The 26,053-nt window shown below is 40.9% G+C and overlaps 2 protein-coding genes across 20 annotated transcripts in view, besides 5 other annotated features; one reads left to right on the top strand and one right to left on the bottom strand.

The window, feature by feature from the left end:
• DARS2 (aspartyl-tRNA synthetase 2, mitochondrial) overlaps positions 1–799 on the bottom strand; it is a 33,874-nt gene extending 33,075 nt beyond the window's left edge. For all 3 annotated transcript variants that reach the window (NM_018122.5, NM_001365212.1, NM_001365213.2), the window contains exon 1: positions 116–799. In NM_018122.5, coding sequence (NP_060592.2) covers positions 116–242 — 127 coding nt within the window. In that variant the 5' untranslated portion in view covers positions 243–799. The remainder of the gene's footprint in view (positions 1–115) is intronic.
• Positions 59–576: an enhancer, noted in NCBI's record as "H3K27ac hESC enhancer chr1:173794034-173794551 (GRCh37/hg19 assembly coordinates)". NCBI's record gives its function as "activates a minimal SCP1, AML or CMV promoter by ChIP-STARR-seq in naive H9 embryonic stem cells {active_cell/tissue: H9 hESC(naive)}" and the evidence as "EXISTENCE:reporter gene assay evidence [ECO:0000049][PMID:30033119]".
• Positions 59–1,095: a biological region, named in NCBI's record as "H3K27ac hESC enhancers GRCh37_chr1:173793515-173794033 and GRCh37_chr1:173794034-173794551".
• Positions 283–842: an enhancer, noted in NCBI's record as "active region_2117". NCBI's record gives its function as "activates an Ori minimal core promoter by ATAC-STARR-seq in GM12878 lymphoblastoid cells {active_cell/tissue: GM12878}" and the evidence as "EXISTENCE:reporter gene assay evidence [ECO:0000049][PMID:35858748]".
• Positions 577–1,095: an enhancer, noted in NCBI's record as "H3K27ac hESC enhancer chr1:173793515-173794033 (GRCh37/hg19 assembly coordinates)". NCBI's record gives its function as "activates a minimal SCP1, AML or CMV promoter by ChIP-STARR-seq in naive H9 embryonic stem cells {active_cell/tissue: H9 hESC(naive)}" and the evidence as "EXISTENCE:reporter gene assay evidence [ECO:0000049][PMID:30033119]".
• On the top strand, positions 589–25,922 carry CENPL (centromere protein L). Of its 17 annotated transcripts, NM_001387284.1 has the most exons (8): positions 589–1,334; positions 1,453–1,546; positions 6,244–6,360; positions 14,166–14,340; positions 17,954–18,205; positions 18,896–19,033; positions 21,967–22,509; positions 24,953–25,922. In NM_001387284.1, exons 4-8 carry the CDS (start codon positions 14,173–14,175, stop codon positions 25,022–25,024), a joined length of 1,173 nt encoding a protein of 390 aa, NP_001374213.1. In that variant the 5' UTR covers positions 589–1,334; positions 1,453–1,546; positions 6,244–6,360; positions 14,166–14,172; the 3' UTR covers positions 25,025–25,922. The 17 variants fall into 17 exon arrangements, 13 of the variants coding, with proteins under 13 accessions (NP_001374213.1, NP_001374215.1, NP_001374217.1 ...); NR_170629.1 differs by lacking the exon at positions 6,244–6,360 and having other exon boundaries at positions 589–1,260; positions 18,916–19,033; NR_170627.1 differs by lacking the exon at positions 6,244–6,360 and having other exon boundaries at positions 589–1,260; positions 18,896–19,013.
• Positions 1,073–1,312: an enhancer, noted in NCBI's record as "active region_2116". NCBI's record gives its function as "activates an Ori minimal core promoter by ATAC-STARR-seq in GM12878 lymphoblastoid cells {active_cell/tissue: GM12878}" and the evidence as "EXISTENCE:reporter gene assay evidence [ECO:0000049][PMID:35858748]".
• Positions 25,923–26,053: the final 131 nt, after the last annotated feature.

Raw genomic sequence — 26,053 nt, 5'->3', positions numbered from 1 at the left:
TAATAATAATAATAATAATAATGGGGGAAAAAATGAAAAATGGAATAAAAGCTCTCCGGCCGTAGATAACAGGCTGAAGTACTGTTCATAGGATAGATCTCTTCGCTATTTTCACCTGGAATTCTCCTCTGTGAACTCTGCAACAGACTTCTGTAGAGAGAACCCCAGATCGGTTGGGTGGTCCTTCTGATGGGTCTGGATAAACCCCTGTACAGCTGACTTAACCAAGAAGGGAAGTACATGTTGGAGCCACACGATGGCGAAAAACAATCACGAAATCCCACGCTGCCGGTAGTTAAAAGTCAGTTTTGGAAATACACAGAAATCCCTTAAAATTCCAGGAGTTCCCACTCTCTTCTCGAATATTTAAGGCCTCCTCCGCACAACATTGGAGTACACGTGTCTAGAAACAAGACAAATCTCCAAGGTCTCTGGGGTGCTTGCTGGGGTGGAGATAAGGGAAAGACCTCTCCCTGAGTCTTAAAGCATCAGTCTGCACTTCTACTCAACAAGTCGGCAGCCAAAAGTGACGACGAGAGAGCGACTCCACGTAGCGGCGCCAGGCGCGAGCCCAAGACAACCAGAGGCGGTCACAAGGTATACGCCCTTCTCCTCTTTCCACGCTTCTCGAGAGGCTCCCGCGGCCAGAACCGGAAAACAAGGAGTAACAGTCGCGTTTCAAATCTCGCAGACCTGCTGGCCGATTTCGAGTCTTCTGAAAGAGGAAGGCGAGCAAAGCCAAAATTCTCCCAGAGCGCGAACCCAAACACAGATCGCCGCTGGGGTCCAAGCGCCCTTCAACTCCGCCCGCTAGTGCCCAAGATTACCGGGAAGGAATTCAACGAATCAGTGGTGAGGTGCCGCCGCCATGCCTACTACGGGCGGAAATTTGAGAGAAAGCTTCGCACCGGTAGGAAAACTGAGGAGCAACCGAGCACGATTGGAAAGGTTGACGATAGTGGTTAAGTGGCTCGGCCTTGCCCTCAGTTAAAATGGCAATTTTAGTTGCTTCACTGATACGGAATCGGCGAGGCGCCAAGGAGGCTTCCTGCGTGGGGCCGCAGAGCGAGTCGGGAAACGATTTTAAACTGAAGAGGCGGCGGAGGGCCGAATTCCCTTTTCTCAACGGCTTGATTTCAGAGCTGGGCTGGTCTCTGACAGGCTCAGCTGGAGAGGGACGGGTTGGGACGCACTGTCCTTTTGCCCTTCCCCCTCCGCGAGCAGAAGCTGACTCCGCAGGAGCGAGGGTCGCAGAGCTGGGTGAGCGGAAATGTCCCTCCCAGAGTGAAGTCGCAGGGCCCGCCCCGCGTCTGAGGGAGCGGAGGTCTTCCTGGGTGCGTTTGTGTCTCTTGTGAACCCACTTGTGGAGCGAGAGGGAATTTGGGAGGGCCAGGGGTTAGTCTGGCCTCTGTCTTAGCTGTCATTTTGGCGGTTTTTTTTTTTTTTCTTCAGGGGATTTCAGTCTCCACATAGTTTTGGAGCCGGACTTTTGAAGAATGATTCGTGAATCCGGAATGGGTGACAGCGTCATCACGGCATTTTATTGGTAAAGATGCTTTGTATTGGTCCCGGACCTGCTTTAACTTTGTATTTGCCCTGTTGTGTGGTCATTATCTTACAATACTTGCGTGTTGAGGTGTGTTTAAACACTACGTGCTTAACACTGGCTAAGTATTGGCATTGGGGCGGTTGGATTTAGGTATTGGTGGCAATGTAGAAAAGTGATCAAGTCAGAGCCCCTTCACGGACTAATCACAAGAGAAACAACAAAGCTTTACTTGTGTGCTGTGAACCACAACTGCAAGTGGAATTGTCAAGAGAACTAGCCCTGCCAAGCTCAGGAAAACTTCTGAGGAGATGGCACATGGAAAATGGATAAGATTTACTGAGACAAACGGGAGTAGAGAAGTGTTTTTAATTGGCGATAAGGTGAATAAAAAGGCAGGGAGAACAGTAGAGTGATCATCTGTCTAGAGTAGGGGGTGCATGTTTGGGTATAGGGCTGTCATTTAACCTCTTAAAGAATTGTCTACTGGAACTTTCTTCACTCCCATCCCCCCACCCCCCAATGTTGTATACAAAACCTTAGAGGAAGTGTATGCAGAATGTTGGATTTTGGAAAGGCTAATGTCGATGGATCTTGGGGAAGAACTGAAGTAGTAGAAAATGAACCTGGATAGGATCAGATAATAAGATCAAATACAGTAGTGCCTTGAAAGCCAGACAGGAATTCTGATTTGACTTCATATAGATGTGTGGGAACTGTTATGGGATCTCAAGCAAGGTAATGATAAAAGTGGTGACAATGAAAGACTGATGATGGATTAGGGAAAGGGGCTAAGATTGGGAACAAGATAAGTAGCTATAATTGAGAATGAAAGTGAAGCCCACATCTAAGAGGACAAGTGTATATCTTTTTAAGAAATATGTCAGAGGCCAGGTGTGGTGGCTTATGCCTGTAATCCAGCACTTTGGGAGGCCAAGGCAGGCGGATCACCTGAGGTCAGGAGTTCAAGACCAGCCTGGCCAACATGGAGAAACCCCATCTCTACCAAAAAATACAAAAATTAGCCAGGCGTGTTGGTGCATACCTGTAGTCCCAGCTACTGGGGAGGCTGAGGCAGGAGAATCACTTGAACCTGGGAGGTGGAGGTTGCAGTGAGCCAAGATTGCACCACTGCACTCCAGCCTGGGAGACAGAGTGAGACTCTGTCTTCAAAAAAGAAATATGTGAGAATTTGATGATAAAGTTAACAAAGTTAACTTTTTAGATGTAAAGGTGATGTTGAAGGAAGAGTAAAAGATGATGAAAGTTTTTTTAGTGGGGAAAGAAAATGAAAAGGAAGAATGGAATTATTACTGAGCAAAACAGAGTACAGTAGTTGGCAAAGAAAGATTGAATAAGATGTGAAGCGATGATTAGTTTTGAACTTAATGAGTTTGACGGAGGTTGGAAATGCAGGACTGGGTTGCAGCTGTAATGGTCTGAAGACAGAGATTTAGGAGTCATATAGAATGATTATTTTCCTATGTAGAATGAATGATTTTCAGAATCTGGGGCCACCTACTATTGGAACATGAGGAAAAAAAAAGAATCAGTAAATAAATTGGAACTATAAAAAGTAAGGAGGAGAAAAGCCCCTAAAAAATGGAATGTCAGAGGAAACAAGGTCCCAGAAAGTTTAGAGGAGTAAGGATGAACAAACTTGATGAACAAAGTATTTGGCCATGGTTTTGGCAAAAACAATGATCTTCGAAAGTACAGTTTCTTTGTAGTGATAGATGGAAGAAAGAGATTGCTGAAGATTTCTAGTAAAATATTTATTAGTAACTGGAGGCAATAGGTGTAGACGACGTTTCCAGGAGATTGGTCTCAGAAGGAATGAGACGAATTGGATTTAAACACAAATTTTTAATGTTAGAAATACTAGAATATGCTTGGCAGTGAAAGAAAAGGATCCTGTATAGGAGTGATTAAAGATGATAGAGATGTGAAGTACAGCCTGGTTGTGGTGGTGCACGCTTGTAGTCCTAGCTACTCGAGAGGCTGAGGTGGGAGGATCGCCTGAGCCCAGCAGGTGGAGGCTGCAGTGATATCAGGCCACTGCACTCCAGCCTGGACAACAGAGTGAGACCCTGTCTCAAAAAAAAAAAAAAAAAAAAAAAAGGCTGAAGTACACAAAGGAGATGGTGTCCAGGGGAGATACAAGTAAGAGGACCTCTTTGCTTCCGATTGGAAGGAAGAGTATTGGGACAGTAATATATTGAGCCAAGGTATATTAATAACCTCTGGATTATTGTGCTGGGCAAAAATTACACATTCTTGAGTGTGAGATGAGAAGGTAAAATAAGTATAAATCATTTGCTAATCTTTAATTCGTGGATTGGGCTATTTTACGTTAACATTAAATACACAATTGACATGTTTTTTCAAAACCATCCCTCTTAGTGCTGATAGTCTTTTTCTCACCTACATTTATTGCTAGACTTTTTAAAGTCACCTAGACTTTAAAATCTTTTTGGGATTCATAGCATTTCTCTTTTAAGGAGTCAAATTCAGCAGGGCTTATGTTGCCTCATAATTGATCCCTGTTTAAAAGGCAACGTGAAAGAAGTAGCTAAGTGCACTCATTGCAGAGTTAGACTGTCTGGATTCAAATCCTGACTCTTCCACTCTAACTTGTTGACTTTGGCAAGTTACTTAACTTGTCTGATTTCCTATTTGTTAGCTGGGAGCATGATCTACTTCATGGGGTTGTTTGAAGATTAAATGAGAAAATATTTATAAAGGGCTTAGAAGAGTACCTGAAACATGATGAATGCTCAATAAGTGTTAGCAATTATTGTACCAAGTAACAAATTTGAAGGAAACATTCTGTCTAAGTAGGATTGATTAAAATTCCCTTTGAAATAGGTAATTCAATATGCATTTAAAGCTAGGATGCTTTAGAATAGCTGCTATTTAAATTGTGTGGTGTCTGGTGTAGAGTCATGTATTCACTACAGTCAAGATACAGTTCCATCACCACAAGGAATTCTTGTGTTGCCTTTTTATAGTCACATTTATGTCCCTCCCACCCTCTTCCCTTTCCCTGATCTCTGTCAGCCACTCATCTGTTTTCATTCCTTTAACTTTGTCATTTTAAAAATGTTAAATGTATGAAATTTTATATGTGACCTTTTTGGATTGGCTTTAACATCCAAGTTGTTGCATGTATCAATAATTTGTTTCTTTTCATTGCTGAGTACTATTACATGGTGTGGATGTACCACAGTTTATTTATCATTCACCCACTGAGTTGTTTTCAATTTTTGGCTATTATGAATAAAGCTACTATGAACATTTCTAAAAATAAATAAATAAATTGTGTGGTATATGAACTTGCTCTGGACATTATTTGAGCTTTAAGGACAAATAATGCTACATGTTTAGTTTATGTATTTATTTATTTATTAATTAGAGAGGGTCTCACTCTTGCTCAGACTAAAGTGCAGTGGTGTGATCATAGCTCACTGCAGCCTCAAACTCCTGGGCTCAAGCACTCCTCCTGCCTCAGCCTCTGGAGTGGCTACGACTACCATCATGCCAGGCTAATTCCTTTTTTTTTTTTGAAAGATGGGGTCTTGCTGTGTTGTCCATGCTAGGACTACATGTTTAATTTGTGGAGTTTTGTGCAAGATATAAATGGTGTCCTAGTCTAACATATTGAAATAGAAGTTACAGGTTAAATCTGAAGTCTGAAATGCCCCATAACGTGAATCTTTTTGAGCACTGACATGATGCTGGAAGGAAATGTTCACTGGAGCATTTTGGATTTCAGATTTTTGGATTAAGGATGCTTGACCAGTGTGATACAAATATTCCCAAATTTGAGAAAATCTGAAATTCAAAAACACTTTTGATCCCAAGCATTTTGGGTAAGGGATGCTCAACCTGTGCTATTTTAAATATAATACTATTTAAATATGGGCCGAGTGCGGTGGCTCACACCTGTAATCCCAACACTTTGGGAGGCTGGTGGATCACCTGAGGTCAGGAGTTCAAGACCAGCCTGGCCAACATGGTGAAACACTGTCTCTACTAAAAATACAAAAAAAAAAACAAACAAAAAATTAGCCAGGCATGGTAGCGGGCAGCTGTAATCTCAGCTACTCAGGAGACTGAGTCAAGAGAATTGCTGGAGCCCAGGAGGCAGAGGTTGCAGTGAGCCGAGATCGCGCCATTGCACTCCAGCCCAGGCCAACAACAGTGAGACTCCATCTCAAAAAATAAAATAAAATAAAATAAGTAAATATAGTAATATAACTTTTTATTCGTAAAAAACTTTTCAAAAGGGTAATTGTGTAGTAGTTGAGACTAATAACTTTTGTTGTTGTTGTTGAGATGGAGTCTTGCTCTGTCTCACCCAGGCTGGAGTGCAGTGGTGTGCTCTTGGCTCACTGAAGCCTCCACCTCCCGGGTTCAAGCGATTCTCCTCTCAGCCTCCTGAGTAGCTGGGACTACAGGTGTGTGCCACCATACCCAGCTAATTTTTGTTTTTCTAGTAGAGACGGAGTTTCACCATGTTGGTCAGGCTGGTCTCAAACTTCTGACTGCAGGTGATCCACTTTTCCTCGGCCTCCCAAAGTGCTGGGATTACAGGCGTGAGCCACTACGCCCAGCTGAGACTAATCATAACTTTGAAATGATAATTCCTTTTAATGAAAATTGTATTTTAATTTTGTGTTTCTTTTTTTCTTGAGAGGGTCTTGCTGTGTCACCCAGGCTGGAATTCGGTGGCATGATCACATCTCACTGCAGCCTTGACCTCCTGGGCTCATGCAGTCCTACTTCAGCCTCCTGAGTAGCTGGGACCACAGGTGTGCACTACCACACCTGGCTAGTTATTTTTTATTTTTTGTAGAGATGGAGTCTCACAGCGTTGCCCAGGCTGGTCTCAGACATCTGAGCTCAAGTGATCCACCTGCTTCAGCCTCCCAAAGTGTTGGGATTACAGTCATGAGCTACCATGCCCGGCCCTAATTTGGAAGTTCTATGAAATACTTCCGTTTAATTGAACCAATACTTGTTTAACAATTAAAGGACACTCAGCCTTGTATTTGGGTAATTATACAAGAGAAATATAAAGCATGGTTTCAGTGACAGTAGCTTAGTTTTACTGAGGGTACAAGAAATACACACTGAAAAATGGTACAAGGAAGTATATGAACAGGGGCTAAAATGAGTGGTACAGACTGGGTGATTGAGGAAAGCTATGTGTGCTGGTATATCTCCAAGGATTTTGTAGAACATTCTTGAGGGATTTTTTCAGACTTATTTAGAGATGAGAGCTCATTCAGCACACACACACACATGCATACTCTGCTTCCAGGAATGAGCCACTGATAACAGATAACAGATAAAAATGTATGCCATAGGTATTTCAGGACCAAAAGGTTAAAAACACCCTAGTTTGAAAGGAGATCAAATTTCTAGCATGGTCTTAAAGGAGGTGAGATGGGAAAAGGACGCTTAAGATAGGAAATGCAGTTGAGAAGCAAACACATGAAGATAAGAATATGTTTATGTCCCAGGTTGGAGAGGAGAATTAGGAAAATAAAGAGAAGCTGAATTAGAAAGACCTTAAACCCAGCAGAAGAGTTTAGGATTTGTCTTGTTACTGTAAAGGTTTTTGCATAGATAAAATAAAGTGCTATTTTTGGAAGAATGGATTACTCTGGATACGGAGAACTCTTAGTTGTGGCTAAGGAATTAGCTTTGTGAAGGGATGACAGATTTTTTTTTTAACATTTTTAAAAAATTTATTTTATTTTTTAAATTATACTTTAAGTTCTAGGGTACATGTGCAAAATGTGCAGGTTTGTTACATAGGTATACATGTGCCATGTTGGTTTGCTGCAGCCATCAACTCATCATTTACATTAGGTATTTCTCCTAATGCTATCCCTCCCCCAGCCACTGACCCCTCGACAGGCCCCGGTATGTGATATTCCCCGCCCTGTGTCCAATTGTTCTCATTGATCAATTCCCACCTATGAGTGAGAACATGCGGCGTTTGGTGTTCTGTCCTTGTGATAGTTTGCTGAGAATGATGGTTTCCAGCTTCATCCATGTCCCTGCAAAGGATATGAACTTATTCTTTTTTATGGCTGCATGGCATTCCATGGTATATATGTGCCACATTTTCTTAATCCAGTCTATCATTGTGGACATTTGGGTTGGTTCCAAGTCTTTGCTATTGTGAATAGTGCCGCAATAAACATATGTGTGCATGTGTCTTTATAATAGCATGATTTATAATCCTTTGGGTATATACCCAGTAACGGGATCGCTGGGTCAAATGGTATTTCTAGTTCTAGATCCTTGAGGAATTGCCACACTGTCTTCCACAATGGTTGAACTAGTTTACACTCCCACCAACAGTGTAAAAGCATTCCTATTTCTCCACATCCTCTCCAGCATCTGTTGTTTCCTGACTTTTTAATGATCGCCATTCTAACTGGTGTGAGATGGTATCTCATTGTGGTTTTGATTTGCATTTCTCTGATGACCAGTGATGAAGAGCATTTTTTCATGTGTTTGTTGGCTTCATAAATGTCTTCTTTTGAAAAGTGTCTGTTCATATCCTTTGCCCACTTTTTGATGGGGTTGTTTGTTTTTTTCTTGTAAATTTGTTTAAGTCCTTTTTAGATTCTGGATATTATCCCTTTGTCTGATGGGTAGATTGCAAAAATTTTCTCCCATTCTGTAGATTGCCTGTTCACTCTGATGGTAGTTTCTTTTGCTGTGCAGACAGTATTTATTTATTTATTTTTTTGCTTTCTTTTTTTTCTGAGACGGAGTCTCGCTCTGTCACCCAGGCTAGAGTGCAGGGGCACGATTTTGGCTCACTGCAACCTCTGCCTCCTTGGGTTCAGCGATTCTCCTGCCTCAGCCTCCCAAGTGGCTGAGAGTATAGGCGCACATCACCATGCCTGGCTAATTTTTGTATTTTTAGTAGAAATGGTGTTTCACCATATTGGCCAGGCTGGGCTCGAACTCCTGACCTTGTGATCCACCCGCCTCAGCATCCCAAAGTGCTGAGATTACAGGCGTGAGCCACTGCGCCCGGCCTGGTCTTCAGTTTAATTAGATCCCATTTGTCTATTTTGGCTTTTGTTGCCATTGCTTTTGGTGTTTTAGTCATGAAGTCCTTGCCCATGCCTGTGTCCTGATTGATAGTGCCTCGGTTTTCTTCTAGGGTTTTTATGGTTTTAGGTCTAACATTTACATCTTTAATCCATCTTGAATTAATTTTTGTATAAGGTGTAAGGAAGGGATCCAGTTTCAGCTTTCTACATAAGGCTAGCCAGTTTTCCCAGCACCATTTATTAAATAGGGAATCTTTGTCCCGTTTCTTGTTTTTGTCAGGTTTGTCAAAGATCAGATGGTTGTAGATGTGTGGTGTTATTTCTGAGGCCTCTGTTCTGTTCCATTGGTCTATATCTCTGTTTTGGTACCAGTACCATGCTGTTTTGGTTACTGTGGCCTTGTAGTATAGTTTAAAGCGAGGTGGCATGATGCCTCCAGCTTTGTTCTTTTTGCTTAGGATTGTCTTGGCAATGTGGGCTCTTTTTTGTTTCCGTATGAACTTTAAAGTAGTTTTTTCCAATTCTGTGAAGAAAGTCATTGGTAGCTTGATGGGGATGGCACTGAATCTATAAATTACCTTGGGCAGTATGGCCATTTTCACGATATTGATTCTTCCTATCCATGAGCATGGAATGTTCTTCCATTTGTTTGTGTCCTCTTTTATTTTGTTGAGCAGTGGTTTGTAGTTCTCCTTGAAGAGATCCTTCACATCCCTTGTAAGTTGGATTGCTAGGTATTTTATTCTCTTTGTAGCAATTGTGAGTGGGAGTTCACTCATGATTTTGCTCTCTGTCTGTTATTGGTGTATAGGAATGCTTGTGATTTTTGCACATTGATTTTGTATCCTGAGACTTTGCTGAAGTTGCTTAACAGCTTAAGGAGATTTTGGGCTGAGACAATGGGGTTTTCTAAATATACAGTCATGTCATCTGCAAACAGGGACAATTTGACTTCCTCTTTTCCTAATTGAATACCCTTTATTTCTTTCTCTTGCCTGATTGCCCTGGCCAGAACTTCCAACAGTATATTGAATAGGAGTGGTGAGAGAGGGCATCCCTGTCTTGTGCCAGTTTTCAAAGGGAATGCTTCCAGTTTTTGCCCATTCAGTATGATATTGGCGGTGGGTTTGTCATAAATAGCTTTTATTATTTTGAGATATGTTCCATCAATATCTAGTTTATGGAGAGTTTTTAGCATGAAGGCCTATTGAATTTTGTTGAAGGCCTTTTCTGCATCTATTGAGATAATCATGTGGTTTTTGTTGTTGTTTCTGTTTATGTGATGAATTACATTTATTGATTTGCGTATGTTGAACCAGCCTCGCATCCTAGGAACGAAGCTGACTTGGTCATGGTGGATAAGCTTTTTGATGTGCTGCTGGATTCAGTTTGCCAGTATTTTATTGAGGATTTTTGCATCCATGTTCATCAGGGATATTGGTCCAAAATTCTCTTTTTTTGTTGTGTCTCTGCCAGGCTTTGGCATCAGGATGATGCTGGCCTCATAAAATGAGTTAGGGAGGATTCTCTCTTTTTCTGTTGATTGGAATAGTTTCAGAAGGAATGGTACCAGCTCCTCTTTGTACATCTGGTAGAATTTGGCTGTGAATCCATCTGGTCGTAGCCTTTTTTTGGTTGGTAGGCTATTAATTATTGCCTCAGTTTCAGAGCCTGTTATTGTTCTATTCAGTGATTCGACTTCTTCCTGGTTTAGTCTTGGGAGGGTGTATGTGTCCAGGAATTTATCCATTTCTTCTAGATTTTCTAGTTTATTTGCATAGAGGTGTTTATAGTATTCTCTGATGGTAGTTTGTATTTCTGTGGGATCACTGGTGATATTCCCTTTAGCATTTTTTATTGCATCTATGTGCTTCTTCTCTCTTTTCTTCTTTATTAGTCTTGCTAACGGTCTATCAACTTTATTGATCTTTTCAAAAAACCAGCTCCTGGATTCATTGATTTTTTTGAAGAGTTTTTTTGTGTTTCTATCTCCTTCAGTTTTGCTCTGATCTTTGTTATTTCTTGCCTTCTGCTAGCTTTTGAATTTGTTTGCTCTTGCTTCTCTAGTTCTTTTAATTGTGATGTTAGGGTGTCAGTTGTATATCTTTCCTGCTTTCTCTTGTGGGCATTTAGTGCTATAAATTTTCCTCTACACACTGCTTTAAATGTGTCCCAGAGATTCTGGTACATTGTGTCTTTGTTCTCATTGGTTTCAAAGAACGTCTTTATTTCTGCCTTCATTTTATTATTTAACCAGTAGTCATTCAGGAGCAGGTTGTTCAGTTTCCATGTAGTTGGGCGGTTTTGAATGAGTTTCTTAATCCTGAGTTCTAATTTGATTGTACTGTGGTCTGAGAGACAGTTTGTTGTGATATCTGTTCTTTTACATTTGCTGAAGAGTGCTTTGCTTCCAATTATGTGGTCAATTTTAGAATAAGTGGGATGTGGTGGTGAGAAGAATGTATATTCTGTTGATTTGGGGTGGAGAGTTATGTAGATGTCTATTAGGTCCACTTGGTGCAGAGCTGAGTTTAAGTCCTGGATATCCTTGTTAACCTTCTGTCTCGTTGATCTGTCTAATATTGACAGTGGGGTGTGAAAGTCTCCCATTATTATTGTGTGGGAGTCTAAGTCTCTTTCTAGGTCTCTAAGGACCTGCTTTATGAATCTGGGTGCTCCTGTATTGGGTGCATATATATACATATATATGGTAGTTAGCTCTTCTTGTTGAATTGATCTCTTTACCGTTATGTAGTGGCCTTCCTTATCTCTTTTGATCTTTGTTGGTTTAAAGTCTGTTTTATCAGAGATTAGGATTGCAACCCCTGCTTTTTTTTGCTTTCCATTTGCTTGGTAGATCTTCCTCTATCTCCCTTATTTTGAGCGTATGTGTGTCTCTGCATGTGAGATGGGTCTCCTGAATACAGCACACTGATGGGTCTTGACTGTTTATCCAATTTGCCGGTCTGTGTCTTTTAATGGGGGTATTTAGTCCATTTACATTTAAGGTTAATATTGTTAGGTGTGACTCTGATCCTGACATTATGATGTTAGCTGGTTATTTTGCCCGTTAGTTGATGCAGTTTCTTCCTAGCATTGATGATCTTTACAATTTCGCGTGTTTTTGCAGTGGCTGGTACTGATTGTTCCTTTCCATGTTTAGTGCTTCCTTCAGGAGCTCTTGTAAGGCAGGCCTCGTGGTGACAAAATCTCTTAGCATTTGCTTGTCTGTAAAGGATTTTATTTCTCCTTCACTTATGAAGCTTAGTTTGGCTGGATATGAAATTCTGGGTTGAAAATTCTTTTCTTTAAGAATGTTGAATATTGGCCCCCACTGTCTTCTGGCTTGTAGAGTTTCTGCCGAGAGATCCGCTGTTAGCCTGATGGGCTTCCCTTTGTGGGTAACCCGACCTTTCTCTCTGGCTGCCCTTAACATTTTTTCCTTCATTTCAACCTTGGTGAATCTGACAATTACGTGTCTTGGGGTTGCTCTTCTTGAGGAGTATCTTTGTGGTGTTCTGTGTATTTCCTGAATTTGAATGTTGGCCTGCCTTGCTAGGTTGGGGAAGTTCTCCTGGATAATATCCTGCAGAGTGTTTTCCAACTTGGTTCCATTCTCCCCGTCACTTTCAGGTACACCAATCAAACGTACATTTGGTATTTTCACATAGTCCCATATTTCTTGGAGCCTTTGTTCGTTTCTTTTTACTCTTTTTTCTCTAACTTTGTCTTCTCGCTTTATTTCGTTAATTTGATCTTCAGTCACTGATATCCTTTCTTCCACTTGATTGAATTGGCTATTGAAGCTTGTGCATGCATCATGAAGTTCTTGTGCCATGGTTTTCAGCTCCATCAGGTCATTTAAGTTCTTCTCTACACTGTTTATTCTAGTTAGCCATTCATCTAACCTTTTTTCAAGATTTTTAGCTTCCTTGCGATGGGTTACAACATGCTCCTTTAGCTCTGAGAAGTTTGTTATTACCGACCTTCTGAAGCCTACTTCTGTCAACTCATCAAAGCCATTCTCCATCCAGCTTTGTTCCGTTGCTGGCGAGGGGCTGTGATCCTTTGGAGAAGAGGCCCTCTGGTTTTTAGAATTATCAGCTTTTCTGCTCTGGTTTCTCCCCATTTTTGTGGTTTTATCTACCTTTGGTGTTTGATGTTGGTGACCTACAGATGGGGTTTTGGTGTGGATGTCCTTTTTGTTGATGTTGATGCTATTCCTTTCTGTTTGTTAGTTTTCCTTCTGTCAGTCAGGTCCCTAGACTACAGGTCTGTTGGAGTTTGCTGGAGGTCCACTCCAGACTCTGTTTGCCTGGGTATCACCAGCAGAGGCTGCAGAACAGCAAACATTGCTGCCTGATCCTTCCTCTGGAAGCTTCGTCCCATAGTGGCACCTGCCTGTGTGAGGTGTCAGTCGGCCCCTACTGGGAGGTGTCTCCCAATTAGGCTACACGGGGGTCAGGGACCCACTTGAGGAGGCAGTCTGTCTGTTCTTAGTGCTCAAATGCCATGCTGGGAGAACCACTGCTCTCTTCAGAGCTGTCAGACAGGGATGTTTAAGTCTGCAGACGTTTCTGCTGCCTTTTGTTCAGCTATGCCCTGCCCACAGAGGTGGAGTCTATAGAGGCAGTAGGCCTTGCTGAGCTGTGGTGGGCTTCGCCCAGTTTGAGCTTCATGGCCACTTTGTTTACCTACTCAAGCCTCAGCAATGGCGGACGCCCCTCCCCACCACGAGGCTGCTGTCTCGCAGGTCAATCTCAGGCTGCTGGGCTAGCAGTGAGCAAGGCTCTATGGGTGTGGGACCCACCAAGCCAGGCACGGGAGAGAATCTCCTAGTCTGCCGGTTGCCAGGGCCATATGGAAAAGTGCAATATTTGGGTGGGAGTGTCCCATTTTCCCAGGTACAGTCTGTCATGGCTTCCCTTGGCTAGGAAAGGGAAATCCCTGGACCCCTTGCGCTTCCCAGGTGGGGCAATGCCCCACCCTGTTTTGGCTCACCCTCCATGGGCTGCACCCACTGTCCAGCCAGTCCCAGTGAGATGAACCAGTTACCTCAGTTGGAAATGCAGAAATCACCTGTCTTCTGCATCGATCATGCTGGGAGCTGCAGACCGGAGCTGTTCCTATTCAGCCATCTTGGAACTGGATTAGACAGATTCTTGACAGAAAAATTCAGTAGAATGTGCTTAATGACTATGTGTTAAAGAATGAAGGTGGGGGACTACATGAATTTAAGTTAACTTAGCAAATTGACAGGAATTTGAAAATGGATCAGTTAGCTTTTTGAAGGAGGAAAAGAAGTTGAATTTAGTTTTGAACATATACTGTTTTTGAGGTATCTGTAAGATATACATAAAAGTGGGCTATAGCCAATGAGGAATATAGGACTTGGTTTAAAAGTCAAAACTGGGGATAGGGAGGGGAAAAGACAGAAAGAGAAAGGATTCCTTTAGAGTGAGGAATCAGTGAAACTGTAAGCATGAATTAACTTTTTAGTGCTTAGAATTCTGGTTTTGTTTCTTCTTATGCAGACAGACCATGGATTCTTACAGTGCACCAGAGTCAACTCCTAGTGCATCCTCAAGACCTGAAGATTACTTTATAGGTGCCACTCCTCTGCAGAAACGATTAGAATCGGTCAGGAAGCAGAGTTCATTTATCCTGACTCCACCTCGAAGGAAAATTCCCCAGTGTTCGCAGTTGCAGGTATGCTTTTTGTGTCCCTTTGTGTTAGTCAATAATTGAGAATATCTGTGAACAAAACATTTCAATTTTTGTAACTATAGTATTCTTAGTATCTTCTTAACCCCTCAGCTAATAAAATAAATGAGAAAGAAACAATTTCATAACGATCAGTGCTACCTCTTTATGTCTTTTATTTGTTTTTTATATTTGTATTTATGTATTTATTTATTTATTTTGAGACAGAGTCTTGCTCTGTCACCTAGGCTGGAGTGCAGTGGCGCGATCTTGGCTCACTGCAAGCTCTGCCTCCTGGCGGCCATTCTCCTGCCTCAGCCTCCCCAGTAGCTGGGACTACAGGCGCCCGCTACCATGCCCAGCTAATCTTTTGTATTTTTTAGTAGAGACGGGGTTTCACCATGTTAGCCAGGATGGTCTCGATCTCCTGACCTTGTGATCTGCCCGCCTCAGCCTCCCCAAGTGTTGGGATTACAGGCATGAGTCACCGCGCCCGGCCTGTTTATTTATTTTTAAAGTAATTTTCAAACATGCAACCCATATATACGAGGAGTTTTTATGTATTTTAACCTCCTTTAATCTGAATCATGTCCACGGTATTTTTTTTTTAACTTTTATTTTAAGTTAAGGGGTATATGTGCAGGATGTGCAGGTTTGTTTTCTAGGTAAACGTGCGTCATGGGGGTTGGTTGTACAGATTATTTCATCACCCAGATGTTAAGCCTAATATCCATTAGTTATTTTTCCTGCTTCTCTCCTTCCTCCCACCCTCCACCCCCGACAGGCCTAAGCGTGTGTTGTTCCCCTCTATGTTTCCATGTGTTCTCATCATTTAGCTCCCACTTATAAGTGAGAACATGTGGTATTTGGTTTTCTGTTCCTTTGCTTGTTGGCTAAGGATAATGGCCTCCAGCTCCATCCATGTCCCTGCAAAGGATATGATCTCATTCATTTTTATGGCTGCATAATATTCCATGGTGTATATGTACCACATTTTCTTTATCCAGTCTGTCATTGATGGGCATTTAGGTTGATTCCATGTCTTTGCTATTGTGAATAGTGCTGCAGTGAGTGTATGCATGCATGTGTCTTTATGGTAGACTGATTTATATTCCTTTGGGTATATACCCAGTAAGGAGATTGGTGTGTCAAATAATATTTCTGTCTCTAGGTCTTTGAGGAATTGCCACACAGTCTTCCACAATGGTTGAACTAATTCACACTCCTACCAACAATGTATAAGCATTCCTTTTTCTCCACAACCTCACCAGCATCTGTTTTTTTTTGACTTTTTATTTTTCTCCACAACCTCACCAGCATCTGTTGTTTTTTTACTTTGTAATAATAGCCATTCTGACTGATGTGAGATAGCATCTCATTGTGGTTTTGATTTGCATTTCTCTAATGATCAGTGATGTTGAACTTTTCTTCATATGATTGTTGGCCTCATGTATGTCTTCTTTTGAGAAGTGTCTGCTTATGTCCTTTGCTGACTTTTTAATGGGGTTGTTTTTTTTTTGTTGTTGTTTTGTTTTTTTTTTTTAGAGAGTGTCTCACTCTGTCACCCAGCCAGGCTGGAGTGCAGTGGCATGATCTTGGCTAACTGCAACTTCTGCCTTCCAGATTCAAGCGATTCTTCTGCCTCAGCCTCCTGAGTAGCTGGGATTACAGGCATCCACCACCATGCCTGGCTAATTTTTTTTGTATTTTTAGTAGAGACAGTGGTTCACCCTGTTGTCCAGGCTGGTCTGGAACTCTTGACCTCAGGTGATCAACCCTCCCCACCCTCTCAAAGTGCTGGGAGTCTTGCTCTATCACCCAGGCTGGAGTGCAATGGTACGATCTTGGCTCACTGCAACCTCCGCCTCCTGGGTTCAAGCGATTCTCCTGCCTCAGCCTCCGGAGTAGCTGGCACTACAGGTGCCCGCCACCACGCCCAGCTAATTTTTTTGTATTGTTAGTAGAGACCGGGTTTCACCATGTTGGCCAGGCTGGTCTCGAACTCCTGACCTCAGGTGATCCACCCGCCTCGGCCTCCCAAAGTGTTGGGATTACAGGTGTGAGCCACCACGCCTGACCTGGCCCATTTTTTTTCTTGTAAATTTGTTTAAGTTCCTTATTGGTGCTGGATAGTAGACCTTTGTCAGATGCATGGTTTGCAAAAATTTTCTCCCATTCTGTAGGTTTTCTGTTTACTCTGTTGATAGTTTCTTTTGCTGTGCAGAAGCCCTTTAGTTTAATTAGATCCCATTTGTTAATTTTTGCTTTCATTGCAATTGCTTTTGGCGTCTTTGTCATGAAATCTTTGCCTGTACCTATGTCCTGAATGGTATTGCCTAGGTTGTCGTCCAGGGTTTTTATAGTTTTGTGTTTTACATTTAAGTCTTTAATCCACCTTGAGTTAATTTTTATATATAGTATATGGTATAAATGAAGTGTTTTTGTTTTTAATCGTACCTGTGGTTCTAATAGAGCATGGCAAAAAATATTCCCAAATATCTTTTTTTTTTTTTTTTTAAGACTAGTCTAGCACAGTAGTGACAAAGGGGGAAGGGGGAAAGAGTAGAACAGGGAGTTGGAAACAAGGAGTTTGATCTATAACTGATTGTGAACAATCAACTGAGATAACTCACTACCTTTGGACCAGCCCCCAAGTATCTTTTTATTTAATCTATTGAATTGGGCATGGTTTCATAAAGTAGATTTGCTGCCAATTTTTTTTTTTTTTAAGGCAGAGTCTCGCTCTGCCACCCAGGCTGGAGTGCAGTGGCGTGATCTCGGCTCACTGCAACCTCTGCCTTCCAGATTCAAGCAATTTTCCTGCCTCAGCCTCCTGAGTAGCTGGGATTACAGGTGCACACCACCATGCCTGGCTTATTTATTTTTGTATTTTTAGTAGAGATGGGGTTTTACCATGTTGGCTAGGCTGGTCTCAAACTCCTGACCTTGTGATCCGCCTGCCTCAGCCTCCCAAAGTGCTGGGATTACAGTCGTCAGCCACTGTGCCTGGCCCAAACAATTTTTTAAATTAAGACTAATCAAATTAGATACTTTAGGAATGGTTACTACTTTTGAAATCTATAGTTTGAGGTTTCTAAAAGTGAAACATAAATTTTATGTTAAATATTTATTGAACACTTATTCTAGATAGCATTGTTCTAGAGAGAACTAAATAGACAAAATCACTGCTGTCATCCAGCTTATACACCAGTAGGGAAGACAGATAATAAAAATACAAAAAAATTGCAGACAAGAATATAATGTTGGGTAGTAATAAGTGCTGTGAAGAAAAGTAAAGCCAGATGAGGTGATACAAAGTTGGAGTGGGTGCAGGTGCTACTTTAGATCGAGTGGCCTCTTGGATTACATTTGGGTAGAGAACTGATGAAGTGAAGGAACTTGCCATGTGAACACTTGGGAGAAGAGCATTCTAAAGAGAAGGTACAGCAAAGGTAAAGGTCTGTTCAAGGATCTGCAAAAAGTCCTGCAAACTCATTTGGTTGGAGTGCAAAAATCAGGTACTCAATAATATATTTGTATTAGATGTTTTAAATGCTATGATTAAATTCTTATTGTTTCCTAATTCTTAAACTTCTTTTGTCTTGATTTTTTTTTATAGGAAGATGTTGACCCTCAAAAGGTTGCATTCCTTCTGCATAAACAGTGGACTTTATATAGTTTAACTCCCTTATATAAATTCTCCTATAGTAATCTCAAAGAGTATTCTAGACTTCTCAATGCTTTTATTGTTGCTGAAAAGCAAAAAGGACTTGCTGTGGAAGTGGGAGAAGACTTCAACATCAAAGTGATTTTTTCTACTCTCCTAGGAATGAAAGGAACACAAAGGGACCCGGAAGCATTTCTTGTCCAGGTATAATACATAAACAGTTCTTGCTTCCTAGGGGAAAAGTATTATGTCTTGTTTGACTAAACTATAATAATTAGATATAATCAACTTAAAAAATTTTTTCCTATATATATAGGTAGTTTGTGTACAAAATCATGTTTATTTTTAAAAACTGAGGAAATACATAAAAATACCAAAAAAGTTAAAAATTATAGTTTAACATTTTGGTATATATGTTTGGTTATCTGTATCTATATAGTCTTGAAATTGGGATCATATTGCCCATACTTTTACATTATGATATTTTTACTAATATTGTAGACAATTACTTATATCATTAGGAATTCTGTATTTTTGTGGTTTTTACTGGGATTAAATTTCTATAAGTAGAATTTTAGTATAAAAATATATATCATTAAATTTTGTGATACTTCATGCCAGGTTACTCTCAGAAATGTAACATTTTAAGGCTGGGTGCAGTGGCTCATGCCTGTAATCCCAGCACTTTGGGAGGCTACGGCGGGCAGATCACCTGAGCCTAGGAGTTTGAGACCATCCTGGGCAACATGACAAGATGCCATTTCTACAAAAAATACAATAAATAAATAAATAAATCTGGTTTCTTAAGATAGTTCTGTTGCTCTTATATACTACTTACAGGAAGGAATATAAAATGTTGCGTTTATTTTATTTTATTTTATTTTTTTGAGACAGGGTCTCATTTTGTCACCCAGGCTGGAGTACAGTGGCACGATCTTGGTTGACTGCAACCTCTGTCTCCTGGGCTCAAGTGATCCTTCCACCTTAGCCTTCCAAGTAGCTGGGACTGCAGGTGCATGCCACCACACTCGGGTAAATTTTGTATTTTTTGTAGACAGGGTCTCGCCATGTTGCCCAGGTTGGTCTTGAACTCCTGGGCTCAAGTGATCCACCCACCTTGGCCTCCCAAAGTGCTGGGATTACAGGCATGAACCACCACACTCAGCCTCAGATTTATTTTGTTTATTATTCATGCCTGCTGCTTCTGTTTCTTTTGAGCTAACTAATCTTAATAATGGATAAGGAAATTAAGTTCTCAAGCAGTTGAAAAGGACTGACTTTTTGTTTGTATAGATTAGAGTCAGTAAACCATGGCCCATAGGCCAAATCTGATCTGCTGCTTGTTTTTGTAAATAAGGTTTTATTGGAACATAGCCCCTTTTATTTGCTTATATATTGTCTGTGGCTGCTTTTGTGCTGCAACAGCAGAGTTGAGAAGTTGCAACAGAGCCCATATTGCCAGCAAAGTCTGAAATGCTTACTAACTGGCCCTTTACAGAAAAAATTTGCTGACCCCTGATATAGGTCATGGTATTGGCAAAGATCTCAAGATGTTCTGGGATTAGGGTTAGCCTAAATAACAGTGAATTAAACAAGATAGTGGTATACTGTCTTTTTTTAAAAAAAAAGTGCATGGATGTAAGCTGTCCGAGGCTGGTATGATGCTTGATGAAATCATTAATAATCTAGGCTCTTTCTTCTCCTTAGTGCATGGTTTTCATCTTAGAAGTTACCTTATTGTCTAACATAAGATGTCTCCAGCAGCTCTAAACATTATATTCAAGTTCCAGGCAGGAAGTAGGAAGAAGATGGGAAGGACAAACAGAACCTGATGCAGAGTAAATCTTGCTGAGACCCAGTAACTTCTCTTTACATCTTAGTTGGAAGGGAGGCTAGAAAAGACTTTTTTTTCAGTGAGTACTCTGCCAACTTAACTAAAGAGACTTTTTTTTTTTTTTTTTGAGACAGCTTCTCTGTCACCAGGTTGGAGTGCAGTGGTACTGTCTTGGCTCACTGCAACCTCTACCTCCTGGGTTCAAGTAGTCCTCCCTCCTCAGCCCCCCAAGTAGCTAGGACTATAGGCATGTGCCACCGTGCCAGGCTAGTTTTATATTTTTATAGAGACAGGGTTTCACCGTGTTGCCCAGGCTGGTCTCAAACTCCTGAGCTCGTGATCCACCCGCATTGGCCTCCCAAAGTCCTGAGATTGCAGGCATGAGCCATCTCGCCCAGCCATAAAGGGACTGTTTTATTGTGGGAGGAAAAATGGATACTCAAGAGACAATTAGCAGTTTTTGTCAAGTGAAGCACTTGATGCACAGAGAAGTTTTGTGACTTGCATATTATCAGTCAAGCATCTACCCTTGTGAGGATTAGAAATGACCTCTTGAATTCCTGGTATAGTGTTCTAATAGTTTTCAAATTAAATTTCGTTTCTTGATAGGGTTACAAGACTCTTAGGTCATGAAAGTGTGATAAAGTTAATATATCTAAGCTTCCAGCTATTTGAGAGTCTTTCATAATTTCTTGAACAAGGAGAAATATGTTAAAAGAACTGTGTAAATGATCATTTCTGAAGGGGTATGATACAAAGCTATGATATTAACCTTGGTCTGCTTAATGCTTTAACAGAGTTCTTTGAGTATCCGGAAGGCATGTTTGTCATGTAACTTAAAATTTAGTTTGAGGGGTTAGGCAATCAGCTAAAAATATAATAAAATATCCTAAATGTTCTGAATGGATTGTCCAATGAGCCAAATCAAAAGAGATTAAAATGTTAGTAGGAATAAATTTACAGCCTCAGTATAAGTTGGGAGAGATTTACCTATAAAGCAAACATGAATATACAGGGCTAGTTTATATAAAGCTGTCAACTAAAAACCAGAAAACTGCAATCTGAGATTACATTAATAGGAGTATAATCTAGTTAAAGGTGGTGGTTAGTCTTGCAATGAGACCTTTTTCCCCCTTCCTTCCCCGAATCAGAGCTTTTTAAAGTAATTATATTCACTTATGAATGATTCCTATGCAGAATAATTTCAGGGAAGAGTGACTAGAATAGTGAGAGAATGTGAATGTATGTCATAGGTGAATGGTTGAAGAAACTGGAAATATTGAACTTAGTACTATGTATGATGGGGACCATCAAATATTTGAAGGACTTTTCCTGTAGAAGAGAGATCAGATGTGATTATATTCTGCATGCCCAAAAGGAAGAAAGCAGGACCAGTGGGTAGAAACTGTAGGGTCTAACATATAAAAGAACATTTTAAGTTGATAGTGCTGCCTTAGGAAATATTGAAGCCTTCCTCAATGAAAGAATTCAAACATGTTAGATTTTGTGACCTTTCACAGTTCTTTCTAAAGTTGAGGGGTTTTTTTTGTTTGTTTGTTTCAGGGTACTACACCTGGTTATGCCATATTGGTAGCTCTTATTTTGCAGTTTGGTTACACCAAGATTTTGCCATATATCATGTTTCCACTGTATAAGAATATTGGGGGCCGGGCCTGGTAGCTCACGCCTATAATCCTAGTACTTTGGGTGGCCGAGGTGGGCAGATCACCTGAGGTCAGAGGTTGGAGACCAGCCTGACCAATACAGTGAAACCCCATCCCTACTAAAAATACAAAAATTAGCTGGGCATGGTGGTGCATGCCTGTAATCCCAGCTACTTGGGAGGCTGAGGCCGGAGAATCACTTGAACCCAGGAGGTGGAGGTTGCAGTGAGCTGAGATCACGCCACCGCACTCCAGCCTGGGCGACAGAGTGAGACTCCATCTCAAAAAAAAAAAAGGCCAATTATTTTGATAAGCCCTGTTAATCATTAGGGAGACTATTCCCTCTATGTTTTTTTTTGCAAGTATTACATTGGCTCGTCTTATTTTTAATGAACTAATTTTGAGAAGATGGAATTTAGAAGTAAATGTACTTTTGAATTTAAGGAGCCTGTTTACTTTCTTTGTAGATTGTGTCAAAATCTCAATTGCCATCTGAGAATAGAGAAGGTAAAGTGCTGTGGACTGGCTGGTTCTGCTGTGTATTTGGAGACAGTCTTCTGGAGACTGTTTCAGAAGATTTCACCTGTCTGCCCTTATTCCTTGCAAATGGAGCAGAGTCTAACACAGCAATAATTGGAACTTGGTTTCAGAAAACCTTTGACTGTTATTTCAGTCCTTTAGCAATCAATGCATTTAATCTTTCCTGGATGGCTGCCATGTGGACTGCATGCAAAATGGACCATTATGTGGCTACTACTGAATTTCTTTGGTCTGTACCCTGTAGCCCTCAAAGTCTGGACATTTCTTTCGCAATACATCCAGAGGATGCAAAAGCTCTATGGGACAGTGTCCACAAAACACCTGGGGAGGTTACCCAGGAAGAAGTTGACCTATTCATGGATTGCCTTTATTCACATTTCCATAGACATTTCAAAATTCATTTATCAGCCACAAGATTAGTTCGTGTTTCAACATCTGTAGCTTCAGCACATACTGATGGAAAAATAAAGGTTAGTTTGAACAATCTAGTTAAGTAATTTTTCCTTGTTTTATGGTTTTAAAAATGTATGATGATTGTATTGTCCACTCAATTGAAGAAACACACTTGAATGTATTCAAGACAATAGAGAGCTTTTATTTTATGGTTTATGGTTTATTGCAGTCTTTAGCCTTCTAGATATAGCCTTATAATGGAAGGACACTATATGCTGTGTGCTTCAGCTTTTGGTAATAATGTGAATTATTATTTTGTAGTAACTTTGAAACTTTCAGAATTGTTCCTTGTGAAATTTTGAAATAATTATCAGAGTAATAGAGAATTTTGTGTTAGACAAAATTATAGCCAGAAACACAGAACTAAGATGTCATCTTTATGTTCCAGGCTTTTCTGTCCTCATTGGGAAAGAAATAATAGAGACATTGTTTTATTCTCTACAGAGTGATTTCTGATAAGAAGTATCAGAAATAGGCCAGGCATGGTGGCTCACGCCTGTAATCCCAGCACTTTGGGAGGCCGAGGCGGGCGGATCATGAGGTCAGGAGATTGAGACCATGCTGGCTAACACGGTGAAACCCCGTCTCCACTAAAAATACAAAAAATTAGCCAGGCGTGGTGGTGGGCATCTGTAGTCCCAGCTACTGGGGGAGGCTGAGGCAGGAGAATGGTGTGAACCCGAGAGGCGGAGCTTGTAGTGAGCCGAGATCGCGCCACTGCACTCCAGCCTGGGTGACAGAGCGAGACTCCGTCTCAAAAGAAAAAAAAAAAGTATCAGAAATAAACTGAGAATTGGCTCCTAAAATATATTAAAATACACAGCCACAATGTACATTCAGTAAATGTTTCCTGTGATCTTGTTACTGTGCTAAGAGTTTAACAGACTTAAATTCTAATCTTTAGAGCAACCCTGTAGTTAGGTGTTTTTTCTGTGTGTGCTTTTTGTTTTTTTTTTTGAGACAGAATCTCACCCCATCACCCAGGCTGGAGTGCAGTGGTGCTATCTCAGCTAACTACAACCTCTGCCTCCTAGGCTCAAGCGATTCTCGTGCCTCAGCCTCCTGAGTAGCTGGGACTACAAGCATGAGCCACTACACCTGGCTAATTTTTGTAATTTTACTTTTTTTACTATTTTTATCTTTATTTATTTATTTATTTTGAGACGGAGTCTTACTCTGTCACCCAGGCTGGGGTGCAGTGGTGCAATCTCAACTCACTGCAACTTCCGCCTCCTGGGTTTAAGTGATTCTCCTGCCTCAGTCTCCCGAGTAGCTGGGACTACAGGTGCCTGCCACCATGCCCAGCTATTTTTGTATTTTTAGTAGAGATGAGGTTTCACCATGTTGGCCAGGCTGGTCTTGAACTCCTGACCTCAAATGATCCACTTGCCTTGGCCTCCTAAAGTGTTGGGATTACAGGCATGAGCCACCATGCCTGGCTAGTTAGATTTTTTTTTTTTTCCTTCGAGATGGAGTCTTGTTTTGTTGCCTAGACTGGTGTGCAGTGGTGTGATCTTGGCTTACTGCAGCCTCCGCCTCCTGGGTTCAAGCAATTCTCCTGCCTCAGCCTCCCGAGTAGCTGGGATTACAGGCTCCACCACCATACTTGGCTAATTTTTGTATTTTTAGTAGAGATGGGGTTTCACCATGTTGGCCAGGCTGGTCTCAAACTCCTGACCTAGTGATCCACCCACCTCGGCCTCCCAAAGTGCTGGGATTATAGGCATGAGCCACCGTGCCTGGACAGTTAGGTGTTTTTATCCACATTTTATTTTAAAACAAGGAAACTGAGGCCAAGATAGGTTTAAATGACAAGCAAGATAGATTATCAAGAGGAAGAATCAAGATTTGAACTCTTACCTCGTAGATCCAATAAGTCAATACTCTATAAGCACTATATTCATGTTTTTCAAACTGGAGGTCACAGTGCAACAGTAGGTTGGGAAATAATTTTGATGAGACCAGCATTAAAAAACAAAAAGGGAAAGAAATAGAAAATGTAAAAATGAGGGGTTTTTTGTTTTAGAGAGAGTCTCATTCTTTCACCCAGGCTGGAATGCAGTAGTGTGATTATAGCTCACTATAACCTTTAACTCTTGGGCTCAAGTGATCCTCCTGCCTCAGCCTTGTGAGTAGCTGGGACTATAGGTGTATACCATTACACCTGGCTGTTTTTTACATTTTAAAATTTTTTTGTAGAGATGAGGTCTCCCTTTGTTGCCCAGGCTGGTCTTGAACTGCTGGGCTCAAGTGATCCTCCTGCCTCGGCCTCTCAAAGTGCTGGGATTATAGGGATAAATCACTGTGCCTGGCCAAAAATGAGTGTATTGCATGTGGTAAGCTTCATGAATTAAATCTAGAAGTTAAACCAATATAACATTGATTATTCAAATATCAATCTGCTTTGTTATAATTAATACTATTCTAATTTTAAATGTCTCCTTCTTTTTCTTTTTGCAGATTCTGTGTCATAAATACCTTATTGGAGTGTTAGCATATTTGACAGAACTGGCAATTTTTCAAATTGAGTGAAGCCTTATGTGGACTATAAGTTATAGATTATATACTCTTATTGATAACTTGCCTAATTGCTATGCTGAAAGAGACTGCAGGAGAAATAGGCATCTATCTCTGCATCTGTTTTCCCCACCATGCCTTTGGAGTTGCCAAGATGGAAGCCAAGAAGGATCTAGAAGAACAAAGAATATGGTAGTAGATGAGCCACAGCCAGGTGCCCATGTACTAATCATGATAACCTGACATGCCATTCTCAAAATGCTGAGTTGTTAATTTCTTGTCATCTTTAAATATATATATATAGGCTGGGCTTGGTGGCTCACACCTGTAATTCCAGCACTTTGGGAGGCTGAGGTGGGTGGATCATTTGAGGCCAGGAATTCAAGACCAGCCTGGCCAACATGGTGAAACCCCTTCTCTACTGAAAATACAATAATTAGCTGGGCGTGGTGGCACATGCCTATGATCCCAGCTACTGGGGAGGCTGAGGCAGGAGAATCGTTTTAACCCAGAAGACAGGCTGCAGTGAGCCAAGACTGCACCACTGCACTCCAGCCTGGGCAACAAAGTGAGACTCTGCCTCAAAAAATAAAAAAGAAATAAAATAAATAAATACAGCGTTTATTATGTTTAAACTCTTAGGATTCAAATGAGATGTATCTAATGGATATTTCTGATTTGGGTCTTTAAAACCTTTAATCTCTTTTAAGCATTTTAGACTTGCATTCAGAAAGAATTCTGTCTTCTAAAGACATTTTCCTAGCATTTCACTGCGGAGAACTGGCAATCAAAATCCCCTCAAAAGGGAACTAAAGATTAATATACACATTTTTTTAGTCATTAATATGCTTCTGTTTTAAATACAGTTCAACTCCTGTTGCAATGTTGAATTAAATGTTTATTTTAAAATGAAGCAATGTGTTTATCAATGTCTCGACATCTTTTAATTAATATCTCAGTAGTGGAAATTGGTAGGCTTTTTCTGTTAACACAGAGGGTACAGACTAACAATTATATAGAATCTTACAAATTGTAGAGTTGAAA

This window comes from Homo sapiens, chromosome 1, assembly GCF_000001405.40.
Source record: "Homo sapiens chromosome 1, GRCh38.p14 Primary Assembly".
NCBI classification, from domain to species: domain Eukaryota; kingdom Metazoa; phylum Chordata; class Mammalia; order Primates; family Hominidae; genus Homo; species Homo sapiens.
Note: the sequence above shows the minus strand (reverse complement) of the source record. Positions and strands in the feature narration are given on the sequence as shown.